This window comes from Homo sapiens, chromosome 10 (assembly GCF_000001405.40).
Source record: "Homo sapiens chromosome 10, GRCh38.p14 Primary Assembly".
Taxonomy (NCBI): Eukaryota; Metazoa; Chordata; class Mammalia; order Primates; family Hominidae; genus Homo; species Homo sapiens.
This window is the reverse complement of record NC_000010.11, coordinates 101,632,992-101,648,654: the sequence shown is the minus strand read 5'-3', so window position 1 is coordinate 101,648,654 and position 15,663 is coordinate 101,632,992. Positions and strand designations below refer to the sequence as shown.

Genomic DNA, 15,663 nt, shown 5'->3' with positions numbered 1-15,663 from the left:
TGAGTGTGGCCTTAATTGGGCCTGGTTGGATGCACATTAACTTCTGTCCAGGCAAGGCGCTGGTTCTGTCCATGAAAGATTATCGACTGAGATAATGAACTTGGCTGTACAGTTCTGACTCCTTTTCCTGTTGCCACTGCTGCAGCCCCGGAGCTCATGTTCAAAGTATAATCAGTCCCCAGAAAACTCTGATCCAGGGTGCTTGCTCAAGGAAGTGACTTACCTAAGTTCTGTCTAGTCAATCAAATCATCTGGTATTTAGTGTTCTCAGGAAAGCTGAGAAAAGATACTGTTTTGTGATGGGAGAGTTTATACCCAAGAGCAGGGGGTAGAAAATCTCAATCATCTCAAATCAATGCTTGTTGTGACTTCATCAAAGGCCCAGAATTTTTGCTTTTTTCCTCCCAACCTGTCCTTTGCTTTCACTACAAGTCTATGCTTAGTCCAACCTTCCTGAGGTACCTAGGACTTTAAATATACAGGATAAAAACAGGAAAAAACAAACAAACAAAAAAACCCAAATCGCAGGATATCTTCTTCTGGTTGGTAGACCTCATCCCTAATGGAGGCCTAATCCCTTTGCCTAGTGGACAGGGACCTCCCTGATGATTGGGTGACCTGTGATTTATGAACTCACTGAGCACCTATAGGAGGCAGCTCATTTTTATCTCCCTCCCTGCAGATTCCGAGCAAGTTATCATCAGGGTCTAAGCTCTTTGGCTTTTCCACAGAGGGATAGCAGAATATTGGGGGTGGGATGGGAAGTTGGTTTTCTCTAGTAACTGGACTTGCAGGTACCTCAAGTCAGCAGCTAGCAGTTGTCTAGCACCTGGCACAGGTACTGTGGAGAAATGAAAGCCTGAAGTAAGATGGGTCACCCAGCCATTAAATCAGGAATATATACCACTGTCAAGTGTATTTGCAAATTTGTGACCTTTCTTATCATTCTTCTGAAAGGTTTGTATCCCATCCCAAGTGGCTTAGTGGGAAAGAAAGGAAGCTTCCAATGAAATGACTTTTTGGTCATTTTTTGGTGTCCTACTATTTTTCCAAAGAGAAAAATCTTCATGGTTTTACAGTTTGGGATTTCAGAAATGCAAGACAAAAACATGCCATTGGGGGAAAAAAAATCGATTCCAAAGCAAGTGTTGGTGTGGTGTGAGTGGGTGGAACTACACTTGAGGTTGGATGGGATGGGCAGGCAGCTGCCTAGGGAAGGGATTCCCAGGCTTTAGCAACTCCTTAAGTGCCTATGTGTAAAACTCTCCTACTTCAAAGAACTACCCAGCAAGTAGTTCCTCCCCTCATCTCTCTAAGGTGGTAGTCACCCAAGGAAGGTACAGGGTCAGCACTCTGAGGCCTGGTGGAAAAGAGCTGATGGGGGCAGAACGACCTGTGGGTGAGAGATCCATTCCCTAGAACTAATGAGAGGAACAGATAAATTAAGGTCACCATTGGAATCTCCTCACATTGTAGGCATCCCTGCCCAGGCCTGGGACCCAGAAAACATGATTCTTGAGAATAAGTGGGTTCTGGCAGCCTCCATTGGGAAAGCCAGACATACACATGACTAGCAGTACTGCATGGGTGTGTGAAGACTTGGGGAACTTGAGGTCCTAGAGTTTTGTGGTATCGCTGACTGAAGCCATGCTTGCACCCCATTCCTAACCACCACCACCCACCCCGCCAGGCGATAGAAAACCTCCCTCCAGCCTCTTGAGACCAACTCCGGCTCCACTGGGACTTTAAATCTCAGAAGAGGAATAATGGGTATTAGAAGCTGTGGGATCACTGTAGGCTATTTATGATCTAAGTCCTGGGTTTGAAATTAATTGGATTATTTTTTCAAACCAACTAAATACCCCAGAACCAAAATGTAAAACCCCCAAACCTTTCATCCTTCTCCCTCTCCCTGTGGCTTTATTTGCTGGGTAGTGAAAAGTGCTCTCTCCAGCCTCCTTTGGGTTACTGTGCTGAACAAAGTGAGAAACCCAGGGAAGAAGGAAGCTGGTGCCAAAAGGGCTGGCCGCTGCCCCTCCCAGCTCTGCGTCCCCTGGCCTTCCCGGCTGCCTCACAGTCTGGGCCCCAGCCCAAGCAAGCAAAGGCGCCTTGACCAGCAACAAGCCCCGGCTTTGTTGCTCCTGTGGGGGAAATGCTTTCTGGAGCCCAGGGATCTCCTCTGAGAACCACCTGTGCCTCTCGGCCTCCTGCCTAGCCTGGGCCTTCTGGCACAGGGACCCCTGCATTTCAGCCAGCAGGCTAATGGTAGGGAGTGAGGGTTGGGAGACAGCTAAGGGGGCTGTGGTCAGTTTGAGGGGGCTCAAATTCCAGTCTGCCCCTTTAAGGCCCCTGGTTGGCTCAGAATCTCCTGAGGCCCTGGCCAGGTTAAATTTGTCCTGTCTGTCATTAGCCTTGACTGTAGCTTTCTAAAGTGGTCTACAGAATAGAATAGGGACAGGGGACCCAAGGCCTCACTTCTTACCCCATACTGCAGGGGAACAGTATAGGTTCCCTTTACTAGGCCATTTCCTTGATCAAGAATCCCAATTGATGCTCTATGGCCTGGCCAGTGATGATCACAATAATGACAAGAGTGATTAGCACTTGTAGAGTGCTGATGAAGTGCCAGGCACTATGCTGACCACTTTATACCTTATTTAATCCCCCCAGATAGGTACCATCATCATCCTCAGTTTACAAAAGGAAACTGAGACCCAAGAGAGGCTAACTAAACAGCCAGAGTCACATCTCTCATAGCCAACACAGCCAGTGTTGGAGTCCTGGCATCTGACTCCAAAGGTCATGCTTTTTCACTTCCGTGCTACTCTGTCTGCTTGCCTGTCCTGTGCTGAGCTCTCTCATTTGGAATTAGAACTTGTTGATTATCTTGAATTGTTTCCAACTTTAAAAAAAATGAATTCAAGACTTGATTCTCTGGTTGGACCTTAAGCTGCCTAAGGGCAAGCCTATATGAATTTGGTTTTTCTTGAACACCCCAGCGTCTATCACAAGGCTGGCTTGGGGAACCCCTGGGTACTTATTGAAGGAATGAAGCCCTGTCTTTGTCTGTTCCCCGCTCAGGGATTGCCCAGGCAAAATCTTGTTTTGTGAAAGGGGTGATGAGTCCCAGAGCAGGACCTTCCATTTGTCCCAGGGAGGCAGCCTGTGTGTGTCTGAGGAAAAGGTGACGGGGAGAGGGTGTCCTGTACAAGTGAGACACAGGACTGACACAGGGGCACAGGAAGATGGGAAGACAGAATCCAGGCCAAATGGGACTGGGGAGCCAAGCCAGTTGTTCTGAGCAAACCGTTTCATGAATCTTCATGGGCCTCTCATCTTGTAGGCCTGCTTGTCTCAGGCAGGTTGTTGGACTGGGCTTCCCCCCAAAAAGAAGAGGCTGTTCCATGCCGCAGGGGTGTCAGGGCAGGGTCTGGCTTCACATCTGAACTGTGGGTATTGAGACTAGCCACCCTTTTCTTTGTAGATTCTGCTATAGAGAATGACTCTGAAACTCTTGCAAAGGCTTGAGGTGGGGGTGAGGGTGTGGACAGTAGTTCTTAGCAGCCAGCCCAGGCCATTGAAGGAGCAGGCTGGGGTAGCACATCATAGTGCAGTAGTTTTCATGGCTAGATCTCAATGCCGAGCAAACAGGCAAAAAGTGTGACCTGACCACCACCTACAAACCATGTGCCAAACTGCTCCTACAGCCCATGGCCATGATTGCCCCTGAATATAGCTCACCTAGGCTGTCAGAGACTCCTCTGTATGTGGTGAGGTTTTGGGTGGCAAATGGGGGTATGATCTCATTTTTGTTGGCATGACTGGAGGGCAGGGCTGTAGAGCAGTGGCCTGTGCTATGGGCAGCTCAGCTGTGTACCTTTTCATCAGTCCTGGGTTCTGCTGGATCATAATGTTATTAGCAGAGTAGCATTGGAGAGTGCCTGGTTTTGGAGTTTCTAGACAGGGCTCTGAAAGGTCTGTGGCATTTCTGGGAGAATCTTTTTCCCTGAAGCTTCCTGACTGAGTTGCCCATGAAGGCCCAAAATATGATGTGAGCTCCAGCCCCAGGCCCTCTGGAGAGAGCAGAGCAGATCCAGCACTGTGGCCACCCTGCTGCATAGCCACCTCCCTTGGCCCATGGCTGCTCAGGTTCAGTTTGCCATCTTTTTCCTATTCCTTGCTTCATAAATGCAGGGCTGTGGTGCTAAGTACAAGTCAATTGTCTTGAGTGTCTCCACTTCCCAGAAAGCTATTTGGCCTACTGACCCTGTTTGGAAGATGCAGATTGGGAGGATGACAATGTAGGTAATAGATGGCAGCACCTTCTTTCCCTTGCCCAGGCCCCAGTCCCAGCTGCCCCCACCAGTCCTGCTCTGGCTCACCACGGGGCCCAATTCAGAGTCCTCTTTTGTTTGGCTTGCACAGAGCAGCTCCAGCTCACCGTTCCCACATGCCAAAGTTTCCCCACCATTCACTGGAAAGGCTGAAAAGCCCTCAGCTAATTGAGTTGGGCTGAAAATTACCATTTCCCTGTGTTCCCCTGCTGCTGAGGACATTTGTGTCACTGCTGTATTTAGGGGGAACAAAGGCCCCCTGTGGGGAGAGCCCAGGTACGAATGTGGGATGGGGGGAATAATTGCAGTCTCTCCAGGTGAAAGCCCCTGTTAAACTTCAGTAAGTCAATTAGGCTTTGCGGGGAGGGCAGAGACCCCCACAATAAACTGTTCCCACCAAGCAATTAAAGAAAATCATTTTAGCTTTGAGGAGAGAAACTGCTTATTAGAAATTTTGTGGGCCCCCCCACTTCCCTACCCCAGGCCCCCTTAGGGATGAAACAACAAAACGCCTTCCTCAATAGAAGTGTTTCTCCTCCTTCCACTCATTGTGTGGCCTGAAAGCACTTACCGTGGGAGGGAAGAGGGAGGGACAGAGACTGGCCTAAGGGGGAGAAAACTGCAGGGGCTTAACACCTGGGCTAGTGCAAAATCACAACTGCCCAGTAAGTTTAGGTAAAGAGACCCCTGTGGGCACAGTGTGTCTACAGGATCTGTGTGGAGTTTCCTTGTGTGGGACATGTGTGCCCACAGACCGCTATCTGCTCCTTAGCACAAGTGGAGATGTAATGCAAAGCGTGCATATGCCTGCGGCATCCTGGGTGCCCTCTTACCGAAGGGAGCAAACGCGGCTGCATGTATGTGTGTGTGTGCCTTCTCAGCAAAGGATGGCAAGGTCAGGACAACCCAGAGGGCATGTACCTCTTCCCAAGGCTGTGACTAGGCCCATGTTCTCTCTCTTCCCAGGGGCCAAATCCCAGCACCTGGGAGTTGAGCCATAGCACAGCTTTCCACCTTGGACAGTTGGCAACTGAAGGCTCAATGGCCAGCAGCCACCTACTGGGCCTGGGCTAGGAGTGATGTGTGGGGAATTGAAGGGTAGATACGCTAATCATTACAATCTTGCTCCCATGTTGTTTGGATGAGGTGAGGTGTGGAGACTCAGCAGTAAAGGAATCAGTGGCCTGGGCGGACACATGCTTTCTTGGTCTCTAGTTTGGCTGATGTGGCTCATGAGAGTCTCCTGTTGGCAAAGCCCTGCCTTCTCCTATTTCTGAGGAGTAGCACAAGTTGGAAAGATAAGGTGACCTTATTTTATATTATTTGGGGAGGATGGCAGGGAGGGAAGTTGACCTGTGCATCAGTAGTCTATAATTTGGTAGTTTACAGGTATGTATGTATGTGCGTACCCCCAGATCACAGGTAGTGTAGGCATCACGCCCAGCCCTGCCCTAAATCTTGGCACTTTAAAGGAGGGCCTGGTGGCGCTGATGGTGGGCATGGCATTGATTCAGGCACTGCCCTGGCCCCAGTGCTCCCCTGTGGCTCATGATGTGTTTGGCCTTTATTCCAATGTTCCAAAGAGGTGAAATTAAACATCGAGGGGCAGACTTTTCCCAGAAAGCAAATATGCTGTGTTATTTGCCTACCAAGGAGGCTTCAGAGGTAGAATTTGGTGCCTACAGACTGGCAGTGGGGAGGTGTGTGGGCTGTTGACAAAGTCCTGAGCAGGAGGATGGAGGGGAGGTTTTATAGAGAGTAAGAGCTGCTTGGAATTTGGAAGTCCCAGAGGGGTGTTGTAGCTTGGAGAGGAGCAGGAAGGGGCAGCTCACTGTGGCAGGCTCTGCATAGTGGCTGCCTGTAAGGAGATGGGACTTCAGAGGAACCTGAGGCTCAGATACTTGTCATGTTTTTTTTTTAATTAAAAAAAAAAATAGAGATAGGGTCCCGCTATGTTGGCCAGGTTGGTCTTGAACTCTTGGCCTCAAGCAATCCTCCTGCCTCGGCTTCCCAAAGTGCTAGGATTACAGATGTGAGCCACTGTGCCTGGCCACTTGTCATGTTTTGCTTCAATTTTTAAATGTGTATATATTCATAGACATATATCCTAAACACATACACATGTGTGGACTATTTTATTTTATTTTACTTTTTTGAGATAGAGTCTCACTCTGTTGCCCAAGCTGGAGTGCAATGGCACAGTCTCGGCTCACTGCAACCTCTGCCTCTCAGGTTCAAGCATTTCTCCTGCCTCAGCCTCCCAAGCAGTTGAGATCACAGGCGTGTGCCACCACTTATGGCTAATTTTGTAATTTTAGTAGAGACGGGGTTTCACCATGTTGATAAGGCTGGTCTCAAACTCCTGACCTCAGGTGACCCACCCGCCTCAGCCTCCCAAAGTGCTGAGATTACTAGTGTGAACCACTGTGCCTGTGCCTGGCCACATGTGTGTCTATTGATATACTATACAGTGATATGTTTATAGAGTTCTTATGTAACATCTCATATATTATTTTGATACACAATAATGTGATTTTCCATAAATAAGCTTTGGTTTCCTCGTACCTAATTTCTGATTTACAACTTCAAATGTCTTTCTGATCTGGGGCCAGGTTCATTAAAAAAAAAGAGAGTGAGAGGGTTTGGGGGGACACACTTAAGGTGTATGTGTATTGTTTTGTTTTTTTTTGAGAAAAAATCTTACATGCACTATGTGAATTTTCTGCTTGGTTTCTCTTGTGTTTTGTGTTTGTGTGCACATGTCACTCAGAGGGATTCAGAAGTAGAATATTTGAGTTTGCTCCTATAGTCAGATTTATTTTTCCCTTAGTTTTTGGGTCATTTGTACCAGGTCAGGGTGGAGAAGAGATAAAAGAAGTTGTAACAAAGGAGTTGCTTGGGGTTACAAAGAAAGATCACAGTCAATTGGTTTTGATTGTGGATGTGTATTTTTAAACTTTAATTCTGAAAATTTTCAAAGATAAAGAGAAAAATAGTAAAATTAACCCCTGTGTTTTCCATCACCATCTTAATTATTTTATGCATGCTTTTTTTCCTTTTTTCCCCCTCAAAGATTCTCCTATCCAATTGTGCATGCTTTTAATTAAAATTAGATGAATACGTGGAAAATATATTTAAATTATCTATCTCTTAAATGCCTGGCATTATGGTTGTTGAAAATGGAAGGGTTGGCTGGGCGCGGTGGCTCATGCCTGTAATCCCAGCACTTTGGGAGGCCGAGGTGGGTGGATCACCTGAGGTCAGGAGTTCGACACCAGCCTGGCCAACATGGTGAAACCCCATCTCTACTAAAAATACAAAAATTAGCTGGGTGTGGTGGCGGGTGCCAGTAATCCCAGCTACTCGGGAGGCTGAGGCAGAAGAATTGCTTGAACCTGGGAGGTGGAGGTTGCAGTGAGCCAAGATCACACCATTGTACTCCAGCCTGAGCGACAGAGTGAGACTTGGTCTCAAAAAAGGCGGGGGTGGGGGAAGGAAGAGTCTAGGTTGGGCAGGGTGGCTCATACCTGTAATCCCAACACTTTGGGAGGCCGAGGCAGGTGGATCACTTGAGGCCAGGAGCGTGAGACCAGCCAGGAGTTTGAGACCATTTGAGACCAATACAGCAAAACCCAATCTCTACTTAAAAAAAAAAAAAAAAATTAGCTGGGGATGGTAGCACATGCCTGTAATCCCATCTATTTGGGAGGCTAAGACACAAGAATCGCTTGAACCCAGGAAGCAGAGGTTGCAGTGAGCCAAGATCATGCCACTGCACTCCAGCCTGGGCAACAGAGTGAGACTCTCTCTCTCAAAAAAAAAAAAAAAAAAAAAAAGAGAAAGAAAGAAAGAAAAGAAAAGAAAATGGAAGGGTTTGAGAGTAAACCAAACTCTGCCCCATTAGAATGAGTCATGTGGTTTCCAGTAGAACATTCAGTCTCATCAGTCCATAAAAAGGGATTCAAGGGACCAAATCTCTGAAGATCAGGGCCTTGTCCCTTGAAGACTAGACTCCCATCCCTCAAGCAGCATCCTTGTTATTTTCTGTTGTCCAGACCATCTCCTCACCCCCTACTGGGAGTGGGCAGGTAGATTTTTCCTGGCACTGTTCTTAGGCATTGGTATAAGAGAACACCTCATCTCCTTTCTGAAGTTCCAGGCCAGCCTGTGTGGTTCTGTTTCATCTGCTCTCCTAGAAGACCTACCAGGTATTAATTTTGTGGTTGAAGTATCTTCTTAGGCCCCAAGGTGTCCAGTAGAGGCCTGGCAAAGCCCTTTGCTCATCTCTCAGTGAGGACATTCAGTTGGGTGAGAAGCCGAGCAGTTACTGAACAGAGGCTCTATATTACTCAGGACACATTTATTGTAAGTGACAGAAACCAAATTCAAATTCACATAAATAAAACAGAATATTTGGCTCATGAAATCCAAGGGAAAAGGTGAAAAACCAAGCCAAAGGCAGAACTGAAATACACCCTTGGGACTAGCTGAACCAGAGGCCATAGTGCTGCCATGGCTTTATCCTTCTGGGGTGCTCATCTCTTTCTTTATGGTTCTTAGCTCCTTCCTTTCTCCAAGCTGACCAGCTTATTCCATGAGGCTGCCAAGTGCTCCTGAGTTTGGCAGCTCATGGCTTAAATCAGAGAGAGTGACTGGCTTCCAAAAATCCCAGGCCAGTTTTGGGTCAGCTGCGCATCTCTTGATTAATTAACTGTGGCCAGGGAGGGAAAGTCATGTAAGAACATGGTGGATCTCTCAGGAATCACATATATGGAGGGAGAATGTGGGCACACAGAACAATAGGTGTCTACTAGTTGGATAAAGGCCAAATGACTCCATGATGTCCAGTCCCAAAGTGTCTATGTGAATGGTGACTGAGCTCAGAGACCTTGGCTACCAACTCTTAAACAAAGTGAAGAGTCTGATAGGAACTGTTGTACAGCCTTTGACCTCCTCCCCCTCACATTATTACTAGTCAGCAAATAAGGATTCCTCCTTTGTAAGCTGTTGATGGTGTCCTTAGCAAAACCCGCCATATTCTAATGTGACATGCACAGAGAAAGAACCTGGTTGCAGACACCTGAGGTTGTATGAATGAGCAGTGGCCTAGCACCCTCCCTGAGGGGCAGAGAGAGACTGGAACCAAGTCCTGGGATGGCACAGGTCTGGCCTGCCCAGGCTTCCTCCAAAGGAAAATGATTAGCAAGCTGCATGATTTGGGATTAAACTGCAGGGAGTTGACACGTGCACCAGGGCTTGCTGCTGGCACTCCTCTACAAATGGAGCACTCCTTTCTTGTGAGGGATAGGCTTTACCTATTGTGTACATAGATACAGTAGCTCTTATTGTCATGGATCCTACTTCTGTAGTCCTACTGTGTATAATTCATGACGCATAGCATCTCTTTACAAACAGAGTGGTTATGAAGCAGAAGTTTGGGGGAAAGCACTGTCAGAGCTGCCGGAAAACTGGAATTCTCATAGGCAGCTGTTCCCAGGCTTTCACCACTCAGAAAGCCATCGAGGTAAAGGGTCTCTGTCAAGTCCCGGATGGAGCCAAGATATCATGTGGTTTGTGCAATAATCAGAATCACATTTAATTCAGTGTGCTACTAATATGCAACACATCTTTCAGGTAACTTCAAAATGAGTATTTTGATTACCATTCTTTTAATTTCTTAATTTCTGTTTTGTTGTTTTATACATAAGTGATACATAAATATGTTCTAATTGTAAAAATTCAAACAATTTAAAATATATAGAATAGAAAGGAAAAATCTCCTTCAGTGACCTGTGTCCCCTCCCGTTATCCTACTCTTTTTTTTTTTTTTTTGCAGGACATCCAGTATGTGTCATTCCAGATCTTTTCATTTGAAGCAAATAGCAGATATCATATAGTTTCATCAATATGTGTACATATATAGATATATGGTTCTGCTTTGTTTTAGGCTCACATTATACATTTGTTCTGCAGCTTGAATTTCTCATCTCCCTACGAGGCTTGGAGGTCCTTTCATGTCAGAGCACCCCATCCTACCATGTTCTTTTTGACTGCAGCATTCTAGTTCCACGCCTTACAAACCACAGTTTGTAACCATCCTTCTACTGATGGACACGTAGGTTATTTCCAGTGTCTTGCTGTTACAAACAGTCCTTTGGGAAACATCTGTGTACTTGCCTATTTTTACATATGGTCAGGTATCTTTCCAGGAAAGACACTTAGAAAGATCATGCTGGATTGAGGAGGAAGCGCACCAAAAAGTTTTTAGACACCACCACATTGCCTTCCAGTTAGACCGTATCAGGTTCTATACCCGCAAACAGTGTGTACAATTACCCATTTCCTCTTATCAGTACTGGGTAATATCCGTTTTTTGAAAAATTTTGCCACTCTGATAGGTAAAAAATGATATTTAATTTGGGGAGTGAGTATAAAATAGTGATTACGGGGTCGACTTTGCAGACCACACGGCTGGGGTCAAATCATCAGTCCCTTTCCTACTAGCTGTGTAATGTTGGTGAGTTACCTCTCTATTCCTCATCTTCCTTATCTCTAAAAGGAGGAGGGTAATTTTGGCTATACAAACCTCATAGTGACCTTTTTTTTTTTTTTTTTTTTTTTGAGACAGGATCTTGCTTTGTCACCCAGGCTGGAGTACAGTGCCATGATCTTGGCTCACTGCAACCTCTGCCTCCCACAATTCTCATGCCTCAGCTTCCCAAGTAGATGGGATTACAGGCATGCACCACCACACCTGGCTAATTTTTGTATTTTTAGTAGAGATGGGGTTTCACCATGTTGGCCACACTGGTCTTGAACTCCTAGCCTCAAGTGATCTGCCCGCCTTGGTCTCCCAAAGTGCTGGGATTACAGGCATGAGCCACTATGCCTGGCTCATGGTGGCTTTTTTTTTTTTTTTTTTTTTTTTTGAGACGGAGTCTCACTCTGTCGCCCAGGCTGGAGTGCAGTGGCACGATCTCGGCTCACTGCAAGCTCCGCCTCCCAGGTTCACACCATTCTCCTGCCTCAGCCTCCCAAGTAGCTGGGACTACAGGTGCCCACCACCACGCCCAGCTAATTTTTTTTTTTTTTTGTATTTTTAGTAGAGATGGGGTTTCACCATGTTAGCCAGGATGGTCTTGATCTCCTGACCTCGTGATCCGCCCGCCTCAGCCTCCCAAAGTGCTGGGATTGCAAATGTGAGCCACCGTGCCCGGCCCATGGTGGCTTTTTAAAAATGTTTTTATAACGGAAATTTTCAAAATATACAAAAGTAGAATAATTACCAACTCTTGGCTAACCTTGCTCCATTAATCCCTACACACTTTCCCGTCCCATATTATTTTGAAGCAAATATCAGACATACAATTTCATCTATAAATATTTCAGTCTGTACTCTAAAAGATAGTGATACTTTTTAAATGTAATCCTGGGCTGGGTGCAGTGGCTCATGCCTGTAATCCCAGCACTTTGGGAGGCCGAAGCAGGTGGATCACCTGAGGTCAGGAGTTCGGGACCAGCCTGACCAACATGGTGAAACCCCGTCTCTACTAAAAACACAAAAAATTAGCCAGGTGTGGTGGCAGGCACCTGTAATCCCAGCTACTCAGGAGGCTGGGGCAGAAGAATTGCTTGATTCCGGGAGGCAGAGGTTGCAGAGAGCCGAGATTGCACCATTACACTCCAGCCTGGGCAACAAGAGCGAGACTCCATCTTTAAAAAAAAAAAAAAAGATAGTAATCATAATACCATTATCATACCTAGAAAAATATTATCAAATATGTAGGAATGTCTTGAGGGTTAAGTGAACTAATTGATAGAAAGTGCTTAGAACAGCACTTGGGCACACATTAAATACTATGTGTGTTTGTAATTATCTTTGTTTTTTCTCTAATTTGCAATTCTTTTTTGTTTTTTTTTTTTCCGTTGTTTTGTTTTGTTTTTGTTTTTTGGTTCTTTTTTTGAGATGGAGTCTTGCTCTCTCACCCAGGCTGGAGTGCAGTGGCTCAATCTCAATCTTGGCTCACCACAACCTTTGCCTCCTGGGTTCAAGCAATTCTCCTGTCTCAGCCTCCTGAGTAGTTAGGTGGTGCACGCCACCACCCCCAGCTAATTTTCTTTTTTTGTATTTTTAGCAGAGATGGGGTTTCACCATGTTGGCCAGGCTGGTCTCGAACTCCTGACCTCAACTGATCCGCCCACCTCAGCCTCCCAAAATGCTGGGATTACAGGTGTGAACCACCACGCCTGGCCTAATTTGCAATTCTTACTAGAGGCTTAACATTATTTCATATGTATTTGGCCATGTATATTTTTTCATAAATTACTTGTTCAAGTTTTCACTCATTTATCTACCTTTTTGCCTGTGATTTATAAGATCGCTCTTCCCTCCGCCCGCCCCCCCAGGGTAGGGAGGAAGTGGGCTCCAAGGCAGGATGCTGGAGGGGTGCCCCTCCATCTCTCTTTTTTTTTTTTTTTCTGAGACCGGGTCTTGCTCTGTTGCCCAGGTTGGAGTACAGTGGTGTAATCATAACTCACTGCAGCCTTGACCTCCTGGGCTCAAGGGATCAGATCCTCCCACCTCACCCTCCTGTGTAATTGGAACTAAAGGTGCATGCCACCACACTCAGCTAATTTTTTTCATATTTTGTAAAGACAGGGTCTTACTTTGTTGCCCAGGCTTGTCTTGAACTCCTGGGCTCAAGCAATCTGCCTGCCTTGGCCTCCCAAAATGCTGAGATTACAGGCATGAGCCACCACTTCTGGCCTCCCATCACCTCTTTTAATATTCTCAGTATTAATCTTTTGACTATATATCAGCAGTCCCCAACATATTTGGCACCAGGGACTGGTTTCATGGAAGACAGTTTTCAATTTTTCCATAGCCTCGGGGGTGGGAGGGGGGTGAGTCAGGGTTTGGGATGATTCAAGTGCATTACATTTATTGTGTACTTTATTTCTATTATTATTATATTGTAATATATAATGAAATAATTATACAACTCACCATAATGTAGAATCAGTGGGAGCCTTGAGCTTGTTTTCATGCAACTAAATGGTCCTATCTGGGGGTGATGAGAGACAGTGACAGATCCTCAGGCATTAGATTTTCAAAAGGAGCCACAATCTAGATCCCTTGCATGTGCAGTTCACAATAGGGTTTGTGCTCCTATGAGAATCTAATGCTACCCCTGATCTAACAGGAGGTGGAACTCAAGGTGGTAATGCCAGTGATGGGAAGTGGCTGTAAATTCAGTTGAAGTTTGCTTGCCCACCACTTACCTCCTACTGTGCGTCCTGGTTGCTAACAGGCCATGGACTGGTACAGGTCTGTGGCCTGGGGGTTGGAGACCCCTGCTGTATATGGTAATTCCTTTCAGCTTGTTGTTTTTGATGTCTTCTGTTGTGTAGAAGTTTTTGTTATTTGTAGGTTAGGTCTGTCTGATCACTACCTTCATGGCTTCAGAATTTTGTGTTTATCTTAAGAATGTCTTTCCAAGATTATAAAACTATTTTCCTATATTTTTTTCTTAGACCTTTATGGGTTTTCATACAGTTTAAAAATGTTTATCTCCTTAATCCATCTGAGATTGATATCTGCTGGGAGGTAGGCTTCTAATTTTTTTTTTCAAATGTGTATTCAGTGGACCCTATACCATTTATTGATTAGTTCATTCTTTACTCTCTTAAAGACCACACTTAGGATCTATTGATTTTCTACAAGTAGATAGGTGTGGCTTTGGATTCGTTATTCTGATCCACTGATCTATTCACCTATTTCAGCATGAATATCATACAAAGTATGTTTTGATCCGGTAGAACAACTTCTTTCTTATTGTTCTTTTTCAGATATTTCTGGGTTATTCTTGTGGTTTTCCTCTTCTAGATGAATTTTAGAATCAATTGATTAAGTAAAAATCTTGTGTAGATGGGACTGTATTGAATTTATAGATTAATTGGGGGAGAACTGACAGTTTTATAATCAGGATTTCACATCTGGGAATATGATGTTTCCAAACTTATTCAACAATTCTATTTTCTTTAGTAAAGTTTTATATTTTTATATGGATCTTTTCTAGTGATTTTTGTTTATTTGTTCATTTTTCTCTTGTTTTTTTTGTTAGATTTATTCTTAGATATTCTACAGTTTTTAAATTCTTTTCATGAATGGATTTTTATTTTATTTTTATTTTATTTATTTATTTTTTGAGACGGAGTCTTGCTCTGTTACCCAGGCTGGAGTGCAGTGGTGCGATCTTGGCTCACTACAACCTCCCTCTCCCAGTTTCAAGTGATTCTCCTGCCTCAGCCTCCTGAGTAGCTGAGATTACAGGTGCCCACCACCACGCCTGGCTAATTTATATATATATATTTTTTAGTAGAGACAGGGTTTCACCATGTTGGACCAGGCTGAACTCCTGAACTTGGGTGATCCACCCCCCTCAGCCTCCTAAAGTGCTGGGATTACAGGTGTAAGCCACCACGCCCAGCCTGGATTTTTAATTACATTTTGGTTGCAATTGGTTATTGCTAGTATATAATAACAGTTTGTTATTGCTGATATATAATAACACTTGGTTATTGCTGGTATATAATAACACTTGGTTATTGCTGGTATATAATAACACTTGGTTATTGCTGGTATATAATAATAACTAACATCCGTGGGTGTGTGCTATGTGTATATACTGTTCTAAGCATCTTTTCCCATATAATCTTTTTTTATTATACTTTAAGTTCTGGGGTACATGTACAGAACGTGCGGGTTTGTTACATAGGTGTACATGTGCCATGATGGTTTGCTGTACCCATCCACCCATCATCTACATTAGGTATTTCTCCTAATGCTATCCCTCCCCTAACCCACTACCCCCTAACAGGCCCTGGTGTGTGATGTTCCCCTCCCTGTGTCCATGTGTTCTCATTGTTCAGCTCCCAGTTATGAGAACATGCAGTGTTTGGTTTTCTGTTCTTGTGTTAGTTTGCTGAGAATGATGGTTTCCAGCTTCATTGATGTCCCCTTTATAGTAGAATGATTTATAATCCTTTGGGTATATACCCAGTAATGGGATTGCTAGGTCAAATGGTATTTCTGGTTCTAGATCCTTGAGGAATCGCCACACTGTCTTCCACAATGGTTGAACTAATTTATACTTCCCATATAATTTTTATAACAAGCCAATGCCTAGGTACTATTACTATTTCTGTCTTATGAAGAAGAAACAGGGCTGTAGAGAGGTTGAATAACTCACTCTGGATCACATGATTACTAGGTGGCAGAGCCAGGGGTCCACACCTGCACCCCTTTCTACTGTTGTATGCAACATGC

At 45.0% G+C, this 15,663-nt stretch overlaps 1 protein-coding gene across 3 annotated transcripts in view, besides 3 other annotated features; it reads left to right on the top strand.

The window, feature by feature from the left end:
* Window positions 1–15,663, top strand: part of FBXW4 (F-box and WD repeat domain containing 4) — an 84,630-nt gene that overhangs the window by 46,641 nt on the left and 22,326 nt on the right. The window lies entirely within an intron of this gene.
* Window positions 3,816–4,663: an enhancer, noted in NCBI's record as "OCT4-NANOG-H3K27ac-H3K4me1 hESC enhancer chr10:103403749-103404596 (GRCh37/hg19 assembly coordinates)". NCBI's record gives its function as "activates a minimal SCP1, AML or CMV promoter by ChIP-STARR-seq in naive and primed H9 embryonic stem cells {active_cell/tissue: H9 hESC(naive and primed)}" and the evidence as "EXISTENCE:reporter gene assay evidence [ECO:0000049][PMID:30033119]".
* Window positions 4,369–4,663: a silencer, noted in NCBI's record as "tiled region #8306; K562 Repressive non-DNase unmatched - State 24:Quies". NCBI's record gives its function as "represses a minimal TATA promoter and a strong SV40 promoter by Sharpr-MPRA in K562 cells {active_cell/tissue: K562}" and the evidence as "EXISTENCE:reporter gene assay evidence [ECO:0000049][PMID:27701403]".
* Window positions 4,664–5,510: an enhancer, noted in NCBI's record as "OCT4-NANOG-H3K27ac-H3K4me1 hESC enhancer chr10:103402902-103403748 (GRCh37/hg19 assembly coordinates)". NCBI's record gives its function as "activates a minimal SCP1, AML or CMV promoter by ChIP-STARR-seq in naive H9 embryonic stem cells {active_cell/tissue: H9 hESC(naive)}" and the evidence as "EXISTENCE:reporter gene assay evidence [ECO:0000049][PMID:30033119]".